Raw genomic sequence first — 22,126 nt, 5'->3', positions numbered from 1 at the left:
TTTTAATCATTTAAAAAATATTTTTAACTCGAGCCAAATATATTAGGTTGATGAAAAAGTAATTGTGTTTTTTGCCATTAAAAGTAAAGACAAAGACCGCAATTACTTTTACACCAATGCAATACATTTGTCAGACTGCTAAGGGAAGGACAGCTTGCATTACAGACTTCTTTTTGTATCATAAAAACAAAATATAAGCAGTGCTTCACATCTGAATGTGGGAAGTTAAAGATTATTTTATTTCATCATTTTGTTTTTGCTTTTCTGTATTTTCAAAATTTCTTCCATAGCGTATATATATTTTCTATCAGACATAAAATAAAATAGTGTTTACTTTTCAAATGTGGTAATTTCATCAATAAAGATAAAACACTGAAGCCAGTGTTTTGACTCCATTAACATAGACTTCTTTTTAAAAATGTGCAGTAGGTGAGCTCTTATTTTGACATTCATTCAAGCCCTTCCCGATTAGCCCATAGTTCATTTCACTTCAAACATTTCTTCTTTGTGTTTGCAGTTGAAATATTCTCTTAACAGCTCAGAAGGCTGCAGAAAATGCTATGCTTCATCAGGCAAAATGGATTAAAAAGGGAGTGTGCTCAACGCTGGCAGTGAAGGATGTCATTGTCTGACAAACTACACAGCAATTTGAGATTCAGCAGTTTCCTTTCCATTTAAGAAAGCTGCATTGTAAACAAGAAGCTAAATCATGAAGAGATGCAAGATTTGTCTAGGAAATTAAACGTATGTTAGAGACACTGACCAAGACTCGTTTTTGTTGGTGTAAAGGACTCTACTGTGAGATGGGCTGTTATTCAAAAGGTTCCACTTTCGAGTTGTTTTTCTCTGGGTACTACTGCCTCCCCAGCCTCTACAGACTCTAACCCTGCCAGGCAGATTGTTTATGGTGTTGGTCTTCGGGAGTGTGGTGCCTGGGCCTGTTTGTCAGTACCGATTCTTATTGCCCTCTATTTTTCTTCAGGTCTGACAGAATACTTCAGCAGCAGACTAGCCAAGAGCTGGTGCAGGACCACAAAGCTCAGGACACTAACTCCTTTCTCCATTGGGACGGCCTTCTCAGGAGGTTATTCTGATCACCCCTAGTTCCAGTTCTTTTCTATCATTGGGTCAGTTTCTGATGTGTTCAGATTCTGATAAATGTCCCAAGTGCAGCACACACAAAAAGACCAGGGGCTGCCAAGCATTCTAAATGTGCAGGTCTTTGAACCTTGGGGAGCATTTCAATATCCAAATTATTTCTTATTTGATCTTCACAAAACTTTCCCTGTGAGACGAATGTGATCCCCAGGTTACAGAGACAGCCAGATAAAGCACTGAACCCACATCTTCGGACTCCATTTTAGTGAAAACGGAGTTCTTTTTTTGTTTTGTTTTGCTTCTTTGTTTTCCAGGGTGACCTTAGGAAGTCACATTCCTCAAAGGCCAAAACAAACAGACAAAAAGCAAACCTACACAGAAAACAAATGCAGGAAGGAAAAGAGGAAAAAGGCCCTTTCTGATAAATGGCAAATTTAAAGTGCTGATAATAGGAAGATACATTTAAATTGAAAATACATTTGCCATAGCTTCTAGAAGCAATCTTGGAAAGCTTTCCTGTACCCTGAAAACACCTACTTTGCATGACCAATCTCCTCCATGTGGGGAGAGTACGCAGAAGTCATTTGCCAAGGAAGCTGCTGCACCTCACCACTGTGGAGGAAGCATGACCTTTACTATTTCTGCCGTATGATTGGGTGACTACAGTACTGCTCCTAGCATGAAAGCTGGCTCTGTTTTATGGGATTCCCACTGTCCTGCCCTACTTGGGCCGGCGTACAGTGTTAAAGATAACAAATGACCCCATCTGCTGTTTCTGACCATGCTGTATGTGTCAAGTTTAAGTAAGGAAGTCTTACCTCGTGTCCTGTCTGGGCAAGCACAATGACCCGTCTGTAGTACGCGTACCTCCCTGAGATCAAAGACCAAGTCCAGTTTCCAATTTGCTAGACTCCATTGGAAGGTTATTTATCTCAATCCATGAGTTTTAACACTTCGGGCTTTTCAAATGAATTCAAGTTAGAAGGTATTTTAGAAGTCAAATCAGTCTAAGAGCTTATCGGCTAAGGACAGTATGAAAATCAGGAAACCTTTGAGTGGTTTTCAAAATGAATTTCTTACAGTCTCACACTTAGAGACAACTAAAATATAAATTATTTATATGTAAATTGTTCATTCCCCTAGCAGTACCAGTGTTTTCAAGGGAACTGTTGTGAAGACACTAGAGCTTTCAGGGTTCTGGTTTACATCCCTGTAAAATCTGTAGAGCATTGAAAACCTGTTATTTGTAAAACACTCCACAGTTGATTCTGATAATCAAGTCCTCTTTTCAAGAAAGTCTGTTGATTTCTATTTAGAGAAAAAGGAGAAATTAAAAATAAAGCCAACAAACAGCCAGGACCGTCTTAGGGGATTTAACTCTTTATCTCTTTCCCCTGTTGTATGGTCTGCACAGCAGTTAATACTTTCTGAAATCACCTTGCTTTTTACTTGTTCCTTCCCACCCCCTCACCCATTGTATACACTCCATGAAAGCAGAAACATTGTCTCTTTTACTTTGCGCTAAAGTTTGTTGAATGAAAAAAAAAAAAAGACTTCAGAAAGCACCTCTATCCAGCATAGCTTTCATACCTTAAAAGACATAAATCCCTGTACATTTAAGTGATTTACAAATTTTCCAAAACCACAATAAATGAATGAATCAGGATAAGAACCTGGGTCTCTGTGCAGCTCAAGTGTTTGTTATTGTGTGCTAGTTAGTTTCAGGTGGTCACCTGCTCAAGTCCATTTGTCTAGATAGTATTAATTGATTGCCAATAAGTCAGGCACCTCATTAGGTGTTGTGATAAATACAAAAAGTACAATAACACTCTTCTTGCCTCAAAGAATTTATTATCTAGTAAGTACAATAAAACCTGTCCACTGAAACTACTCCCCCAAATCATTCCTCCTCCTACGTGAATAAAATCACTGAATCTTTGGCATGTTCACCAAAGACACAGCAATTAGGCACTCATATTTTGGCAAAGAGTCAAGTGTATTGTACAGTCTATAAAAATCCACTACCAAATTAATTCACCTGTGTGCCCTTTACCCAAGATATTGGTACATGTCACTATGGGAACATGGTTAGAGAGCTCTTTTGATGGAATTGCTGGATGTGACTTCTTCTAGGTATCTACACTTGACCATCTTTTGTCACAGAATTTGCTAATCCCCAAATAGCCACCTTGAGGAGGGGAAAAGAGGGGAACTAGTGCAAACAATAAATTAAGTTTTTATTTCTAAGTGCTTACCCAAGGCCTGAATCTTTCTAATGACTTCAGGAATATACTTGTTAATACAGGGCAGGCAAAAATTTCATGTTGTCAGCAAAACTTTGATGGTATCAAAATAAATATGAGTCATGTAATTTCAGCTTTTGAAGGTGGGGTCTGAGAAACTAGAAAAGATTTCCTGACTGGCAGATAGTGAGACAGCAACAGCCCCCTGGGAATGGAGAATCCCGCATCTCCACCTCCATCCAGTGCAATTGCAGAGACCACCGCCAGGGTGCCTAAGGCTGGTGCATTGAAACAAAGGAGATTCTTTTTCCCTGTCAATATTCTGAAGCTGCATGAAACAAACACCTCTTTTGTGACTCCTGCAGTCTCAGACAGATCAAAGCTTTCAAAAGGAGGTGTTGCTGGACAGTTTCATTGCTCAAGGCTAATGATTCACCTAAGAATCCACCCAGGAAAGTTGCTAAGCTGGTTTGCTGGCTGTTTGGTGAAGACTTTTAAAGAGATATTGCCACATTTGAAGACAGAATTTTACTTTACATAAAAATTATACATACAGAGGACGGCGAAAAGACAATTTATATTCTGATAAAGTAAATGGGATTTCTTTTAATTTTCATCCTTAAAAACTATATTTAAAAATGAACTGAAGAACATGATATAACTTTTCCTCAAACATCCCATTCAAAAGGTAGATTTAAAGTTTCTCTGTATGTGGTGCTATTAAACTCTGAATAAATGCAGATAAGTTGGAAATATGCCATTTGTTACTGTGGGAAAATCATGACAAAATATTACTCAATAAAGCCCTGTTTGGAGACTGTACACACAGGTGTGGGCACATGCACACCATCAACAACCTTCCTTATACTGTAAAAACCAAAGCATATGCATGCTTGATTTCTTAAGTATTATTCTTACTTGAATATAATTTGCTTAGACAAAAAAAGAGCTAAGAAGTAAATCCTTTTACAACCATCATTTCACATGGTTTTCTGGGAACTTTCATTTGGCAGGAATTCTGTGCCTTCATGTATCTTTTACCTAAATCTTAAAAGGAGAGGTGTAATTGAAAAAATACACCCAGCTATTCGGGAGGCTGAGGTGGGAAGATCACTTGAGCTCGAGGATTTGAGGCTGCAGTGAGCTAGGATCATGCCACTGCACTCCAGCCTGAGCAACATAGTAAGACCATGTCTTTTACAAATAAAAATAAGTAAAGAAAACAGAAAACAAGTAAATTAAAATTTTGACATGATTTTTAAAGGCTCTTGGCTTAGCCCCTCTCCAACAGGATTGGATTGGATGCTTACTTTACTTGTTTCCACAGCTTGTGGTGCCTTTATCTGTAACAAGGGCCACAGCATGGTGCCTGAAGCAGGAAGTGATCCAGCCAATGGTTTGTTGCATGGATTGCTAACTACCTCTAAAGCTATTTTCTTTATAGCATGTGTTTTATGAATATCCATACTACCAAATAATAGCTGTAAAGCCTATGGTAGAGTGAAGTAGAATAATCTGGGTGATCTAATAATGACGTCAACACTTGACACTAAAACACTACCATTTGAGCCAAGTGTCATGGCTCTTGTCTGTAATTCCAGCACTTTGGGAGGCTGAGGTGAGCGGATCGCTTGAGTTCAGTTTAAGACCAGCCTGGGCAATGGTGAGACCCTGTCCCTACAAAAAATAAAAAAATTAGCCAAGCATGGTGGGGCACACCTATTGTCCTAGCTACTCAGGAGGCTGAGGCAGGAGGATGACTTGAGCCCAGGAGGTCTAGGCTGCAGTGAGCCATGATGGCACCACTGCATTACAGCTGGGGCGATGGAGTGAGATCCTGTCTCAAAACAACAACCACAACCAAAAAAACAAACACAAAACCCCTAAGCACTACCAATTTGAGATTGAGGTGTGCAAGCAAATTCCTTCTTTAGTATGTTTAAATATTGTCGTAGACTCAAGTTAAAAGATAAATGGCATGTATTTGTAATCCAGAGTGTCCAGGCACTATACTTTGCATAAATATGGTCATATTTAATTGTTGCAACAAACCTCCGAGGTGTCATTCCTACCATTCTACAGAGATGAAGAAACTGAGACTTAGAGAAACCTCCTAGTTAGTAAATGGGAGAAAAGACGGGATTCAAATTTGAGTCTGTCTGACTTTAAAGGCAGTGCACTTTACATATAGCTAGTAGCATTTTTAGTTATTCATATCTTAGTGTGAATTATTTCATTCACACCTTAGTATGAATTATTTTATTGAGACCTATTTTCTGCTGGATACAGATGCTCCTCAGTTTGCAGTGGGGTTATGTTCCAATAAACCCATCCTAAGTTGAAAATGCATTGACTATAACTGGCCTGCTGAACATCATATCTTAACCTCATCTACCTTAAACATGCTCAGAACACTTAATTGGCCTACAGTTGGGCAAAAATCACCTAACACAAAGCCTATTTTATAATAGAGTGTTGAAAATCTTATGTGATTAATGAATATTGTACTGAAAGTGAAAAACAAAATTTTTGTATGGATACTTGAAGTACAGTTTCTACAGAATGCATATTGCTTTCTGTCATCTTAACACTGAAAAAACCTAAGTCAAAACATTCTAAGTCAGAGACTGTATGATGTATCAATCTCCCTGAGAAAAGGGAGTTTTGAAGAAAAGAAAAAAGAGTGGACAATTTTAAAGAAGAAGGTAAGAGTAGAAATCTGGGCCACCATAATGATGCTTTGCAAACACAGCATGAGGTTTCAAGGTGCTGAATGCATTTATGTTATGTTGAAGTTAAGCGGGGCATCTTGTGAGAAAGAAAGAAAACACGAGGGAAAAAAGGATGGTAAAGGCTTTTTCTTAGAATTTGGATATATTTGGTTTTAGTAATCACTGGTCATTAGAGAAATGCAAATCAAAACCACGATGAGATACCATCTCATGCCAGTCAGAATGGCGATTATTAAAAAGTCAGGAAAAAAACAGATGCTGGCAAGGCTGTGGAGAAATAGGAATGCTTCTACACTGTTGGTGGGAGTGTAAATTAGTTTAACCATTGTGGAAGACAGTGTGGCGATTCATCAAGCATCTAGAACTAGAAATACCATTTGACCCAGCAATCCCATTACTGGGTATGTACCCAAAGGATTGTGAATCATTCTACTATAAAGACACATGTACACGTGTGTTTACTGCGGCACTATTTACAATAGCAAAGACTCGGAACCAGCCCAAATGCCCATCAATGACAGACTGGATAAAGAAACTGTGGCACATATACACCATGGAATGCTATGTAGCCATAAAAAAGAATGAGTTCATGTCCTTTGCAGGGACATGGATGAAGCTGGAAACCATCATTCTCAGCAAACTAACACAGGAACAGAAAACCAAACACCACATGTTGTCACTCGTAAGTGGGAGCTGAACAATGAGAACACATGGACATAGGGAGGGGAACATCGCACACTGGGGCCTACTGGGGGGCCTGTTGGATTGGGGGTTGAGGGGCGGGAGAGCATTAAGACAAATACTTAATGCATGCGGGACTTAAAACCTAGATGACGGGTTAATAGGTGCAGCAAACCACCATGGCACATGTGTACCTATGTAACAAACCTGCATGTTCTGCACATGTATCCCAGAACTTAAAGTAAAATAAAAATAAAAATAATGTAAAATGGAGCAGTACACCTTTAAGTTATGAAGTGATACTGAATGCATCCTTATTTGGGAAATTATTTCTAGTTTATATTGGTTAACTTAAGCAACTATATCTTTGCTTATTTAAAATTCATTTTATCTGATTTTTCATGTTTCCATGAGAATATAAATGATGATTAAGAAGAGTATGAATGGAAAAAATGTCAAGCTTGGGACAGAGGACTAGAATTTTCTCTACAAAGACAAATACAGCCCCACTTCTTCAACACCAGTAACTTGGGTTCTGGGAATGAGAAAGGCAGGCTCACCTACTCTTTCAGCAGGCTCATGGGGTATAACATAATGCTTTGGTTCCTTTCATGCTCATCTCTTTATGAAAAAGCAGTTGTAAATGCCTACCATTACCCAGTAAGTGCTTTGCTTCTGAAGAACAATTCATAATATAGTAACTAAATATAGATGCCTAATGTTAACAAATTCCACTCCTTTCCTATGACTATTAGTCTGTCTTTCGCTAAGGATTCCAAAGTGTTGCATAGGTCTCAATAATGGACGTCCTTGAAGGCAGCCTATCAATGGTTAAGAACACCAACTCTGGAAAGAGAGCCTGCCTGGGTTCAAATAAGCCTCTACCACTTACTGGTTGTATGACTTCAAGAAAGCTACTCAGTGTAGCCAAGTCTCAAGTACCTCATCTGAAATGTGAAGTAATAATTTTATCTAACTCATAAGATTGTTGTGAAGACCAAAGTCCTCTTTGGTCCTCCTTGAGCCTGGCTGGGCACGATGGCTCACACCTATAATCCCAGCACTTTGTAAGGCTGAGGCAGGAGGATCACTTGAGCCCAGGAGTTTGTGACCAGCCTGGACAACATAGCGAGACCTCATCTCTAAAAAAATTTTTTTTTTTTTGAGATGGAGTCTCACCCTGTCGCCCAGGCTGGAGTGCAGTGGCACGATCTTGGCTCACTGCAACTTCCACCTCCCGGGTTCAAGCTATTCTCCTGTCTCAGCCTCCCGAGTAGCTGGGATTACAGGTGTGCACCTCCACACCCAGCTAATTTTTGTATTTTTAGTAGGGACGGGGTTTCACCATGTTGGCTACGCTGGTCTCGAACTCCTGAGCTCATGATCCACCCGCCTCGGGCTCCCAAAGTGCTGGAATTACAGGCGTAAGCCACTGCACCCAGCCCCCAAAAATTCTTTTTTAAAATGAGCCGAGTGTGATGGCTTGCACCTATAGTCCCAGCTTCTTGGGAGGCTGAAGCGGGAAGATCACTTGAACCCAAGAGGTTGAGGCTGCAGCAACTGGTGATGGGGCTACTGCACTCCAGTCTGAGCAACAGAGTGAGACCCCTGTCTCAAAATAAAATAAAATAAAATAAAATAAAATAAAATAAAATAAAATAAAATAAAATAAAATAAAATATAAAATAAAATAAAATAAAATAAAATAAAATAAGATGATCTATATAGTATGCTTAGTGTAGTGCCCAGCATGTAGCAAGTGCTCAGTTAAATTTTTTTTCCCAAGAAATGAATTTTGAGGTTCCAACTAATCTTTATTTCACAGTCTGTTTAATTCTTCTAGGTTAGTCTTTCTATATTCCTACTTCTCCTAAAATCCAGAGTTTGACGTGAAACATATACAAACTCCTAACACAAATATGGTGGCAAACATGAAGAGTTAATTTTGGAAGTAATTAGGAAGTTGATGAAATTGGAATCACTTTTCAACCTTCTTCTGTGGAAGGCTTCTTCCACACATAGTAACTGGTAGTTTACTTGGTTGCTCTACGGTTCTTCAGAAACAGAGAGAAAATAGAACAAACTTTGTCTAAACAGTTAAGCTTAAATATACCCATCCCAAGTGGATGCTGATTGGTAAGTTCTTGTTTTTCTTTTTTCTTTTTTTTTTTTTTTCCACTCCAGCCACTGAGGCTGGAGTGCAGTGGCATGATCTGGGCTCACTGCAACCTCTGCCTTCCAGTTCAAGCGATTCTCTTACTTCAGCCTCCCTAGTAACTGGGATTACAGGTGCCCACCAACCATGCCTGGCTAATTTTTGTATTTTTATTAGAGCCAGGGTTTCACCATGTTGGCCAGGCTGGTCTCAAACTCCTGACTTCAGGTGATCTGCTGCCTCGGCCTCTCAAAGAGCTGGGATTACAGGTGTGAGCTACTGCGCCCAGTCTAATTGGGAAATTCTAATGAAAGGTAAATTACACTCCAGGGAATTAGTGCCCAGAGATAATTGCAGTTGACCTTAATATAGGCTCCCAATAGTAAAACAAATATGAATTTTTGAACACATGGAAAATACAAAAATATCTCTCACATATTTCTTCATCTAAGTATGCCAGACAGGTCCCTGGCCTGGAGTGAAAAGACTCAAAAAGAAGAGGGAGCCATGGGAACATCCTGGCGCTCAGCTGAAGATTTTGTAATCTTCATTCAAATCTGTTAGGCATGCTTCCCAATCCTTGGAAACACTAAATGGGCCGGATGCTCTACCTACCTATCCCATTTAAATGTGATATTTATAGGTCTTGAACAACAGTTAAAATGTTTCAGTAGAATAATTTTGTCTTACCATGCCAGGTATATTGTTTCAAGTGCCGCTGCTAGTTTAATTTAATGCTTCATTTATTTTTGCTGTCTCTCTAATTGTCAAGTATGCTATTCATGCTGTTTCATTGCTTAGGCACCCAAGTAATGATGATTTTCCTGCCATGTACGCCAACACATCACTATTTCCACCACTGGAAGTAAGAAGGTGGTGAACACAAAAGTCATTACTAGATGACATCGGTGCACAACATTATGGCAGATTTTACATCCTAAATCAAGTTTATTTACGCCAGCACTATATTAGTTTATGTTCTCTCACCACAGATTGGTAAACAAAAATGAAAAAATGTTGACTGGTATTTTCAAGGGAGTAGGGTAGAGTGTGTATGTGTAATGTATGTGTGTCTGAATAGATATTTCATGCTCCTTAAAAATAATGTGACTATTCTGAGTTAAATCATTATCAAATATTATCACATTCTATTTTTCTTACAAACAAAGGTATATTAGATGGCAAAGTAGTTTTTTATCATTCATCAACTATTGAATACTCTTTTCAGGAAAAAACATACATAATTTTAGCTATTCATTAACTCCCTCCCCAAGAGTTCTCTTGCTAAAGATGGTTGAAGTGCTATAACTACAAAACGACTTCAGGATATAGAATAATATGGAGGAACAAAAAGACTGATCATTCAAAATGATTTTTTAAAATCCTGAGGAACACACAAACCAACAAATAATGAACTTCATAGACACTGAAAAAGATGTGATCAAAATGAGGTTTTCTGAGGTAAGCACAGTGGGAAACACTGGAGGTGGAACAAATTATTAGGTCATTAAACTTCTTTCAGAGAAGGGCTATTCCTTTTTTTATTTTGATGACAGCGAGATGAAGCACATATTTTTGCAGTAGTTTCAGAAGTTTGATAGACACAAGTGTTTGAGTGCAGTTCTCAAATGTATTCACTATCAATAACACATGATGCTGAAATTAATAAAGGACAGATAGAAGTGCCCAATGTAAATTCTAAGGTATGTTAATTAGTATAAGAAAATATTTTTAAAAAGGAACAGATACTTGTACTTTGTTCTGTCATGTAGATATTTTCATAGTTTGACCAATCTACTTAAATCATCTGGATTTACCTAATGAGTTTGCTCACACTTATGTTCCTAACAATGTAGGCTCCCTGAAGCAGGGATTAAAGTGTCTGGTACACATTTTAGGCCCTTAATAATGTTGAATGTGCTAGTAAATGGATGAGTTACCAATTGCACAAGTAAAAACAGTTATGCTTGTGGAAGCAATGAACAAATAAAGAGCAAACTAGAATTACGAATGCTGCATATTATATTTTCATTGTGTTATTGACCACAATTTAGTTCATCTAGAAACAATTTTAAAATCAAGCAGAGATTTTAGCTTTCATTCATATTCTTCTTGTATTGCTATTGAGAATATTTATTTTCTCCCTAATAATCATTCCTAATTTTTTTTAACAAATTACCTTCTTTAAAGTATATTGAGATAGAAGTGTTCATTCTGGATATTTTAAAACAAGAGGTGCTTAGTAAGGACCAAGAAAATGACAAAAATTCTTTTGCAAATATTTATGTGAACTAGAAGATACTCATACTTAGGGAATTTAATGCCTAAACTTTTGTCCAAAGCTTTCTTTTAAATTGTTTTAATGACTGTTGAATATTTGGTAATAAGATGAAAATACTGAAAACCAAAAAAGTGTTAGTTCTAACCCAATTTACCTTTCTATCTATAATAAGCCCATATTTACAAATTGTACTGTATGACTTTGGTCAAAAGCAACTCATCCTTCCTTTAAAAAATCCATATGGAACTGGAGAGCAATTTAAAACAAAGCCAAATGAGATTTGTCATGTTGATAGTCAGTCCCACTGGCTCAGTCCCTGCTCTCTTGTTCACCTTTTCCTTCACTTCTGGGACTGTCATTCAAGCTTGTGGTGTCAACTTTCACTTCTGTGCCAAAGATTCACAAAAACATTTTCTATCATGCCCTCTTATCTTGCTACTATTCTTGTGTTTGCACCTTTCTGTTGGTGGTGATATTGTCACCCCAGCACACTCTGTCCCAATACAAGGTCAACCACACTCAGAAGAGAAAACTGCACTCGCACCTCCTAACTCCTCTGGTCACAGACAGCACCTAGCACGTTCAGGTGGGCTGGCCGCAGACAGCCATCTCAGTGACTTCACAGCTCTTCCAGCTGTGCATGCATGAAACTTGAAATCATCTTGATCTCTTCTTTCTTCTCTGCTGTGTTTCCAAGCCTTGCCAAGTGCTCCCCTTATGTGAAGCTTTTCCTCTTTATTCCCATGCCAAATTCCAACCTCCAATCTCCATGACTTCCCTCTGTTATTTCACAGGTTACTTATTACCACAGTCCTTGTCCAATCTGGCCCATGCTGGAAAATGTTGTTGGACTTGCCCTGAAAAAAATCTGCTCATTATGTCATTTTTTTTGCCATATTCAGAATAAGCAGTAAGTATAACCTACATGGGGCACAAAGTAGCCCTGAAAAATATAGCAGTGTTTTCTGGTAATTGCAGTCTCAAGTTTATATTCTCTCTGAAAGTAGATAGAATATTATTAAGGGGAAGATTATTAAGGAGAAAAAAGATGTTCTCATAGCAATACATGAAGAATATGAATAAGTGCTGAAATCTCTGCTTGATTTTAAAATTGTTTCTAGATGAACTAAATCATGGCCAATAACAAAATGAAAATAAAACATGCAGCATTTGTAATTCTAGTTTGCTGTTTACTTGTTCGTTGCTTCCACAAATTAAACTGCTTTTATTGGTGTAATCCATAACTCATTCATTTACTTGGTGTGTGTGTGTGTGTGCGTGTGTGTGTGTGTGTGTGTGTGTGACAGAGTCTTACTATGTTACCCATGATGGAGTGCAGTGGCGTAATCACAGCTCACTGCAACCTTGAACTCTCAGGCTCAGATGATCTTCGCATTCAGCGGGGACTACAGGCATGCACCACCACACCTGGCTAATTTTTTTTTTTGGTACTTTTTGTAGACATGAGGTTTTGCCATGTTGCCCAGGCTGGTTTGGAACTCCTGGGCTCAAATGATCCACCTGTCTCAGCTTCCCAAAGTGCTGGGATTATAGGCGTGAGCCACTGGGTGCAGGGTCTGTACACACTGACTTCCATTAAGACAACTCTTCCTGTCAGAGACCCAGGCCTGACTGCTCTCTACAAGGACAGTGACAGAGCATCTACACAGGAAGGGCTAGAATAGCAATCTGATAGGGAAACAGACCTAGGGGATGTGGATTACAGCAAGGATATTACTTCCACTTAAAAGCATATATATTTTGAGGTGGCTTGAAACTACTTTACATGATAAGCAGATGTTTTATTCATGTTGAATTTTTATTAACCTATCTGCTATAAATTCTACCCCTCTCTATGAAAAAAAAAACCTATAAGGCTGCTATCCTCCATCTAGTAGCTAATTTTTATTTGTTTCCCTGGATGTTGCAAATTTTAAGAGTTTTCTTACTGAAGCATTCAGAGTAAGCACAGGGGTGATATAAAAAATATTTAGCAACCCATTTGACACAGGCACTGAGCAATAAGATGGCCATCAGCTGGAGAAGACTGGGTTGGCTGGCTCGTGCATCCTGGCTACACATCATCTGGGGCATATGTGATCCTCGTGCACTGTACACAGGCTCAGGAGACCTCTGCTACCCAACCATCCAGTGCCATGGTGTGTGGGGAGCATCTCTGCTTAGGATACAGATTTCTCAGGTCTGGGACCCAGAAACTCTCGAGTTGTGGCTCAGTGGTGTATTTTAATAAATTCTCCAGATGATTTTGATGCAAGCCAAAGACAGAGACCTAATCTATGTGGATTGTTCCCACTACCCGCTTCCTTGCCCTCATAACCTGGCATAAAAGATAGGGGCTAGAGAGCAGGCAGTTTGCAGACGACCTTTGTTCTCTCTTTTAATCTCCAATGTGTTTTCTTTTGTTCTAGTAGGAATAAAGATTAAATTGGCTAACAGAATATTGTGGAAATAACAGTGAAATAGAAAGACTATGATTGGTGCTAATAATACGGCCTTAACACCCATTGTTAAACACCCAATTATACGTTTTTATTCCATATGGTAATAGTTTAATATACAAGCTTAGGTTCACAGGCTAATATTCTAGGTTGCAGTTTTTAAATTTATTGCATGAATATAATGGAAAAGAATTTTTTTTTAGTTACATTTTTTGACAATTTGATTATTTGCAAGAGAGAATTTTAACATACAGGGATACGGTATATGAAAAGAACAGGTTTCAGTCAGGCTCAATTTTCAGATAGAAATCAAAAATTAAAATAAAAAATATTAGATGAAAATCTTGAAAAGGTATATTGCATTCTCTTAATATAATTTCTCCTTTTGTTAATAATTCAGGATCAACATTATGAATAGTCATTGTTTTATTTATATGCAGTGTGCTTAACTCTCTTTCCTATTTGGCTGTTTCTAATCATCACTGGATTTGAAAGTGATTTAATAAAACACTTAAAAGTGTGAAAACTGAAAGTAAACAGTTTCTGAAGGAAGATATAAAATTCGAAGCATGAATTGCATGAGCTTTAACTTCATTGATCTCATGACAGTGACTTAACAGGTCAGATACCTTTTACTTCATTATTGATCTTTTTGCCAACTCTTGTTAAGTGAAGTTTTTTTGTTTGCTTTGTTTTGTTTTGTTTTGAGACAGAGTCTTGCTCTGTCACCCAGGCTGGAGTGCAGTGGCATGATTTCAGTTCACTGCAACCTCCACCTCCCAGGTTCAAGTGGTGCCTCAGCCTCCCGAGTAGCTGGGACTACAGGCACATACTACCATGTCCGGTTAATTTTTTTGTGTTTTTAGTAGAGATCGGGTTTCGCCATGTTGGCCAGGCTGGTCTCGAACTCCTGACCTCAGGTGATTCGCCCGCCTCTGCCTCCCCAAGTGCTGGGATTATATGCATGAGCCACCATGCCTGGCTGAGATTCTGATATACGAAAGTTCTAAAAAATCGAATCTCTTAAGAGATCAGTAGGCTCAATTCTTTTTAAAAATGTGTTACTTCCCTTGAGTTTTAAAACAACCCTACTCGTAATCTGACATTTCATAAGAACTATAAACTTATGAATCTCTCTGAATTTGACATTCTATCAAGTTGAACTCAACAGAATTAAGGCCACACATGTAATCAGAAAATAAACTATTAAACATATTTTGAAGAAATTTATATTCATTTGGCAATTGAATGTCTCACTTAATCAAAAACTTATTTAACCAACATAGGTTGCGTTTTTCCTTCTCAGAGAGGTAAGACAGAGCCTGTATTATTTCTATGTAGTCACTGCATCATTCTGGCATGTCTTTGGTTGGGTATGACTCACTGAACAGAAAAGACCGTCTTTCACTACTGAAAATGAGACTTGTTTAAACAAAGCATTGTTAATTCTACTTGGTTGAAACAGGAGGCTACCTGGATGATTATCCTGCTATTTTTTCTTTTTTACTACGGACTCATGACTGAGTCATACTTGAGAATTACAGCATGGGGTCATTGTATAACCAAAAATCTAAAAGAAATTAAAAATAAAGCAAAATTGATAACAACTTCACAATGATCAAAAAGGTACATAATATTTCATATTTCATACAATGAATTGTTATTTATTGTGGACTCCACTGTAAGAGTGTCTTAATTCTCACAAGCTTAAAAGCAGTATGGTGTCTTGTAATGTTGGGGAAGTGAATTCACACTTGGAGGTAGCTTTATCTCACAGTCAAACTGTGGATTTCAGTTAAGGAACTTGAGTTAGAATTCTTTTCCACGCCTCTTTGTTATTATCATTTTTTATACATTTCCAAGTTTCATTTTCTCTTTGGCCTATAGAGATACCATAATATTTTTTATCTTATTCCAGGAAATTCTTAAAAGGAGGATTCTTTATGAGCATAAAAGTTCTCATATGTTACTGTCCAAACAGGCAAATAGTTAGACTCTATTGTAAAGAAAACAAAAAAACCTGTAAGACACAACTAAGTCAAAAGGAAACTAGCCACTCACTCTTGACCTGTAATAGATAATTGACACGTGATACCTTTATTAGTATACCTCAAATGCAACATAATCTACCTTGTGGTATTGTTGTAATCACTTATCACAAATAAAATGTTATCCCAGTCCACTTACATGCTAGGAATAATGTTTTGCACACACGAAGTTAGAGACTGCCTGGTTATGGCCATGTGATGAAGTTCTCACCAGTAGAGTATGAGCAGCAGTGATACGTAAAATTTCTGCCACAATTTAAAGGAAAATTGCTGGCCTTGATTTTCCTATTCTTCAAGCTGAACACAAATATGCTCACTAGCCAACTTTGACCATAAAGTTAAAAAGAAAGTCTGAGATGCTGAAAAGAAAAAAAAAAGGAAGAGATCTGGATTCCTGGATGGCTATGTAGAGCAGAGTCACCTTGGAACCCTGAACTGCTCATTTGGGGACTATTAGGTTATATATGAAACAAATCAATGTTTATTTTGAGAAGTGACTATATTTTGGGATCTCTTTATTACTGTAGCTTAGCTTTTTGACATAATGTTGAAGAGACTGGTATTGAAAGTGGGATGCAGATAGACATCACAAAAACAGAAAAGATGTGATTTTGGCTTGAAAATCAAGTAACACACAGAAAGGACAAAATATAGTAGATGGGAACTACGGTTACCTTCAGTCATGTGTTGAAAACATTTGGTAAGAATATGACATGTGATGATTTGCAAGACAAGCACATTTCCCACTGAGCTTGTTCCTCTAGGTGAAGTGGTTAGAAATTTCCAGAAAGATAGTGTGAGAAGATGGCGATACAGTTTGGATGTTGTTCCCTCTAAGTCTCAGGTTGAAATGTAATCCCCAATGTTGAAGGTGGGGTCTGGTAGGGGGTGTTTGGGTTATGGAGGTGGATCCCTCATGGCCATGGCTTGGTACTGTCTTCATGATAGTGAATGAGTTCTCGTGAGGTCTAGTTGTTTAAAATTGTGTGGCACTGCCCCCCCACCAACTCTCACCGCTGCTTCCAATTTGCTTTTCACCATGAGTAAAAGATCCCTGAAGCCTCAGATGCCCAGCACCACACTTCCTATATAGCCTGCAGAACCATAAGCAAATTAAATCTCTTTTCTTTATAAATTACTCAGTTTCAGGTATTTCTTTTTCTCCTTCCTTCCTTCCTCCTTCTTTTTTTTTTTTTTTTTTTTTTTTTGACAGAGTCTCATTCTGTCACCCAGGCTGGAGTGCAGTGGCATGATCTTGGCTCACGCAACCTCCACCTCCCGGGTTCAAGTGATTCTCCTGCCTCAGCTTCCAAGTAGCTGGCACTGCAGACATGCACCACCACACCTGGCTAATTATTGTATTCTTGTAGAGACAGAGTTTCACAATGTTGGCCAGGCTGGTCTTGAATTTCTGACCTAAGTGATCCACCCACCTTGGCCTCCCAAAGTGTTGGGATTACAGGTGTGAGCCACTGCGCCTGGCCAGGCATTTCTTTATAGCAACACAAGAACAGCCTAACACAGATAGTTACAGTATAAAAGTCAGAAAGCAGATACACTTAAAACTAAATTTTAAAAAAATGAGGTATGGTTATTGAAACATGCAATCAATTATAAGGAAAAAAACCCTGCAGTTACTATGTTTTCAATGGATTGCGTTACCAAATTAGCCATCAGCATAATTTGGAAAAGCAAAATTGTGAGGCATGAAGTAGTCTTCTGATATTCATGTAAAAGACACAAAATAAGTGCCCAGAAGGCAAGGTCAGAGGCCACAACGACCACAGGCAAAGGAGTTCCTCTCAGAGAGTAGAACCAGGGACAGCCAGACGGGTCAACCAAGAACCCACTCACCTCCCAGAGCAGACAGATGAATGACTCCCACCCAGCACAGTGATAACTTCTCTAGATCAGTCTCTGTAGTGTGCTTCTCATGCTTTCCTTTTCCAAATTGTGGCTTATATTGCATTTATCCTATTCCTGCTCTGCTACTGTTTATTTGTGGGGTGGGAATTGGAGGGAGGTAACATATTGATCTGGTGGAGAGGACTGTGTTTCAACTAGTGATCCTGAACTTTGAGCTGGATGAAATAACTGAATTAGACTTCAGCTTACCTACTTTGGAAAGGGAACAAGTATGTTCCATTTGTGGAAGGAAATTTACATCTAAACAGTGGGGTGGCTAGAGCCAAATATTGTGTCAGAAACTGCTAACTGTCCACCAAATTCCATTATCTCCTGTGTTGTAGTAATAGAATTTAAGTTGATCATATGACTTCCTTGGCAGAGATTACATTTCTCTGAGTCCTTTGCAGATGATAATGTGATGTGATGGCATTCTTGCCAATGCAATGTGAGTCAAATGGCTGGTTACCATTTCTGCCTCACTTGTTTTAAAGATAAGTAAAAGCCAAAGGGCCTGAGGTTGGGATGCAAAAGAAACAGGATGACTGGAGTGAAATAAGCCAGAGAGCACAGGCCAGACCAGTACATAGTGCAAAGCTTGAATCTTACTCTGCAAGAAACAATTGAGCCAAGTAACGATAAGATTTCATTTATATTTTCAAAAAGAGACTTGACTATGTTGGAGCAGAAAGAAGACTTCAGAGGCAATTGCAAGAGCCCAGGTGAGTGATGAAGGTGGCTTAGTCTAGAATGGTGGCAGTGAGGGACATGATCAGCTCACATTCTGGATACATTTTGAATTATGAGCCCCTTAGGACATGCTCATGAATTGACTGTAGAGTGAAAGGGAGCAGAGTCAACTCAGGTGAATTCTAGGTTTTTGGCCAGAAAAATTGGATGAATGGGAAGATTGAGAGAGGAGCAAATCTGTGGTGTGGTCTTAAACCACGAGTTTTGTTTTAGATATTTTAAATTTTGTCTATTGGAGATCCAAGTAGAGGTGTCAAGGAAGTGGTTGCATAACTGGGCCTCAGTTTAAAGATGGTGTTTAAACCTGAGAGATGAGGCGTGACCACCAAATATGTCCGTGTGTAGAAAATAAATAGAAGAGAGTCCAGTACTTACTGGCAGTGTGCACAAAATTCAGAGGCCAGGAGGAGAGAAAGAATAGTGAAGTCACAGAAGAGGAAGTTAAGTAAAGAAAGTGTTTCTGGACGGAGGTAATGAAGGACTTGAAGAAATGCTGCTCTGCATCTGAGCTGTTGTATGTGTTGTGGTTCTTTCATTATTTATAAATAAAAAGGAAAAAATATGTCTCATATAGCCAAGTCTACTTGGCTTTTCTATACCAGAAATGCTTATAGGGCAATTGTTATTAGAAAAGAAAAAAATGATACTATTTTTAAATTTTAATTGCCATTTTTTTTTTTTTGAGACAGGATTTTGCTCTGTCACCCAGGCTGGAGTGCAGTGGTGTGAACATAGCTTTCACTGTAGCCTCGACCTTCCGGGCTCTCTCTCTCTCTCTGTCTCTCTGTCTCTCTCTCTCTCTCTCTCTCTCTCTCTCTCTCTCTCTCTCACACACACACACACACACACACACACACACACACATATTAGAAACAGGGTTTTGCTATGTTGCCAGGCTGGTCTCAAACTTCTGAGCTCAAGAGATTCACCCGCCTTAGCCTCCCAAAGTACTGGGATTACAGGTGTGAGCCATGGTTCCCAGTCCCCAACTACCTTTTATAAAAGTTGGGTCCTGTTAAATAAAGTGCCCTCTATTCACCCTTTACTCTGCTGAGTACCCTGAAGGGTTTGAATATATATATGCATCTAAGTGTTGTGAAAGGTGGAATTCATTGATATAAAAAAGGGAAAATAGGCAGGACTGCCAGCTATATAAGACTGAAGAGATTCACAAACCATCTCTCCAAAAAACAACTATGAAACTGACAAAAATAGTTAAAAAAAAAAAAGCAAGCTCTGGAAATCTACAAAAGGCAAACAACAACGTAAGAGACATATATTCACAAAAATCTACTGAATTTTAGGGAAAACAGTGGAAGTCTGTGGCATTCTTGCCTGAAGTTGTCCACTGCCCCTGCCTCAGCTCAGATGATGCAGTAGTTCTACCAGGGCCAAATGGCCATGAAAACTAGCACCTTCACTGCTGGAGGCCGCTGATTTTGTTTGGAGTGGAGGATGGAAAAATCTCACCCAGCAGTGAACACGAAAAGCCTGCAGCATGAGGTTATGGTCCTGGTTGGGGCAAGTAACAGAATGTAAGACCAGCAAGATATTTAGCAGGGAGATAGCAATTGAGGCACTTGATAAACATTCCACACATGCCTGGCTGCCTGGGAGCCTGTGTGCATGAATGGTGGAGACGTGAGGGCCAACAATAACAACAAAAGGCCACGCAGACTTGAAAACTGCCCAAACTAAACACAGATCCACAAGCAGAGGGTGAAAGCCTTATAGCCCACCGTTTTTGAACACAACTTTTGTTCAATCATTGACGGACCATTTAATTATGCAAAACCAGGGGTCACTTCTAAGACACCAGCTTAAAAAATAAAAACAATAAAAAAGTTAAGCAGAGGCATCAACAGCTGCACATCATGGGGCTTCTAAACTCCTCAGATTTAATTCAGATATGTTACTTAAAAACAACAGGTAGGCAAACAACAACAAAATCCACACACACACACGCCCAACAAAAAACCCTCAGAGAAAAAGAAAGTGATAATCCAGAGTTGCTACAATATATTATCCGAATTGTCTAGTTTTCTACAAAAGTTTATAAAGCATGCAAGAACACAAATAGGAAAATGTAAATTATACTTAGCATAAAAACAGCCAGTGAAAACTGTCTCTGAGTGGGTCTAAATGTTGCATTTAGCAGACAAAAATTTCTAATTAGATATGATAAATATCTTTGAAGAACTTAAGAGGTCAGTATACACATGTTCAAAGAACTAAAGGAAATGTGGTGGCAATTGCTAAAAAGTGGGAACTATTAATAAAGAAAAAGAATCTACTAGAAAAAACAAAGTGGAAATTCTAGAGTTGAAAAATATGTAAATATTGGCTGGGTGCGGTGGCTCACACCTGTTATCCCAGCACTGTGGGAGGCTAAGGCAGGCGGATTGCTTGGGTCCAGGAGTTCGAGACCAGCCCTGGGCAACATGACAAACTCTGTCTCTACAAAACATACTAAAATTGGCCCAGTGTGGTGGCATGCACCTGTAGTCCCAGCTACTCAGCTACTAGGGATGCTGAGATGGGGGAATTGCTTGAGCCTGGAGACCGAGGTTGCATTGAGCTGAGATCAAACCACTGCACTCCAACCTGAGCAACAGAGCAATACCTTGTCTCAAAAAGAAAAAAAAAAAAAAAAGAAAAATATGAAAATGTCTCTAAATGCATTTTTTGAAATATTCAAAAAACTGGAAGCAATTTAATTATCCATCAACTAGTAAGTGACTAAGCAAAATATGCTGTATACACACACATACACACATATTCAATTATATACAAGTTTATTCCTTTTTGATGCTCAGTAGTATTCAATTGTATTCAATCATATATAAGTGAATACTACTGAGCATTAAAAAGGAATAAACTTGTATACATAAATACTCTATAGGAATAAGCAAATACAGGCAAAGAAGCTTTTTGTTTTTGTTTTTGTTTTTTGAGACTGAGTCTCTCTCTATCACCCAGGCTGGAGTGCAGTGGCACTGTCTTGGCTCACCGCAACCTTTGCCTTCCAGGTTCAAGCACTTCTCATGCCTCAGCCTCCCAAGTAGCTGCGATTACAGGCACCCACCACCACGCCCAACTAACTTTTGTATTTTGATAGAGACAGGGTTTCACCATATTGGCCAGGCTGGTCTCGAACTCCTGATCTCAAGTGATCCACCTACCTCGGCCGCCCAAAGTGCTGAGATTACAGGCGTGAGCCACCAGGCCGGCTGGCAAACAGGTTTAAATAATGTGTTTGTAATATCTTTTAGAGAATGTGTACACATCAGAATGGGTGACATTATGCTGTGGTAAGAAACAACCTGGATGATTTATGATTTAAATCAGGGGTCCGCAAACTTTTTGGCACCAGGGAGCAGTTTTGTGGAAGATGGTTTTTCCATGGATGGGGTGGTGGGTGGTGGGGATGGTTTGGCGATGGTTCAAGTGCATTACATTTATTGTGCACTTTATTTCTTTAATTGTTACATTGTAATATTAATATATAATGAAAGAATTATACAACTTACCATAATGTAGAATCAGTAGGAGCCCCGAGCTTGTTTTCCTGCAACTAGACGGTCCCATCTGGGGGTGATGGGAGACAGTGAAAGATCATCAGGCAGTAGAGTCTCATAAGGAGCGCACAACCTAGATTCCTCACATGTACAGTTCACAGTAGGGTTCGAGCTGCTATGAGAATCCAGTGTTGCTGCTGATCTGACAGGAGGCCAAGTTCAGGTGGTAATGTGAGTGACGGGAAAGGCTGTAAAT

At 38.9% G+C, this 22,126-nt stretch overlaps 1 long non-coding RNA gene across 2 annotated transcripts in view, besides 1 other annotated feature; it reads right to left on the bottom strand.

The window, feature by feature from the left end:
• The window catches only part of LOC105372049 (uncharacterized), a 34,186-nt gene extending 16,536 nt beyond the window's left edge, over positions 1 to 17,650 (bottom strand). For both annotated transcript variants that reach the window (XR_001753388.2, XR_935334.3), the window contains exon 1: positions 17,552 to 17,650. This is a non-coding gene — a long non-coding RNA (uncharacterized LOC105372049). The remainder of the gene's footprint in view (positions 1 to 17,551) is intronic.
• Positions 19,717 to 20,288: an enhancer, noted in NCBI's record as "OCT4-NANOG hESC enhancer chr18:28805437-28806008 (GRCh37/hg19 assembly coordinates)". NCBI's record gives its function as "activates a minimal SCP1, AML or CMV promoter by ChIP-STARR-seq in primed H9 embryonic stem cells {active_cell/tissue: H9 hESC(primed)}" and the evidence as "EXISTENCE:reporter gene assay evidence [ECO:0000049][PMID:30033119]".

This window comes from Homo sapiens, chromosome 18, assembly GCF_000001405.40.
Source record: "Homo sapiens chromosome 18, GRCh38.p14 Primary Assembly".
Taxonomy (NCBI): domain Eukaryota; kingdom Metazoa; phylum Chordata; class Mammalia; order Primates; family Hominidae; genus Homo; species Homo sapiens.
This window is presented reverse-complemented; position numbering and strand designations above follow the sequence as displayed.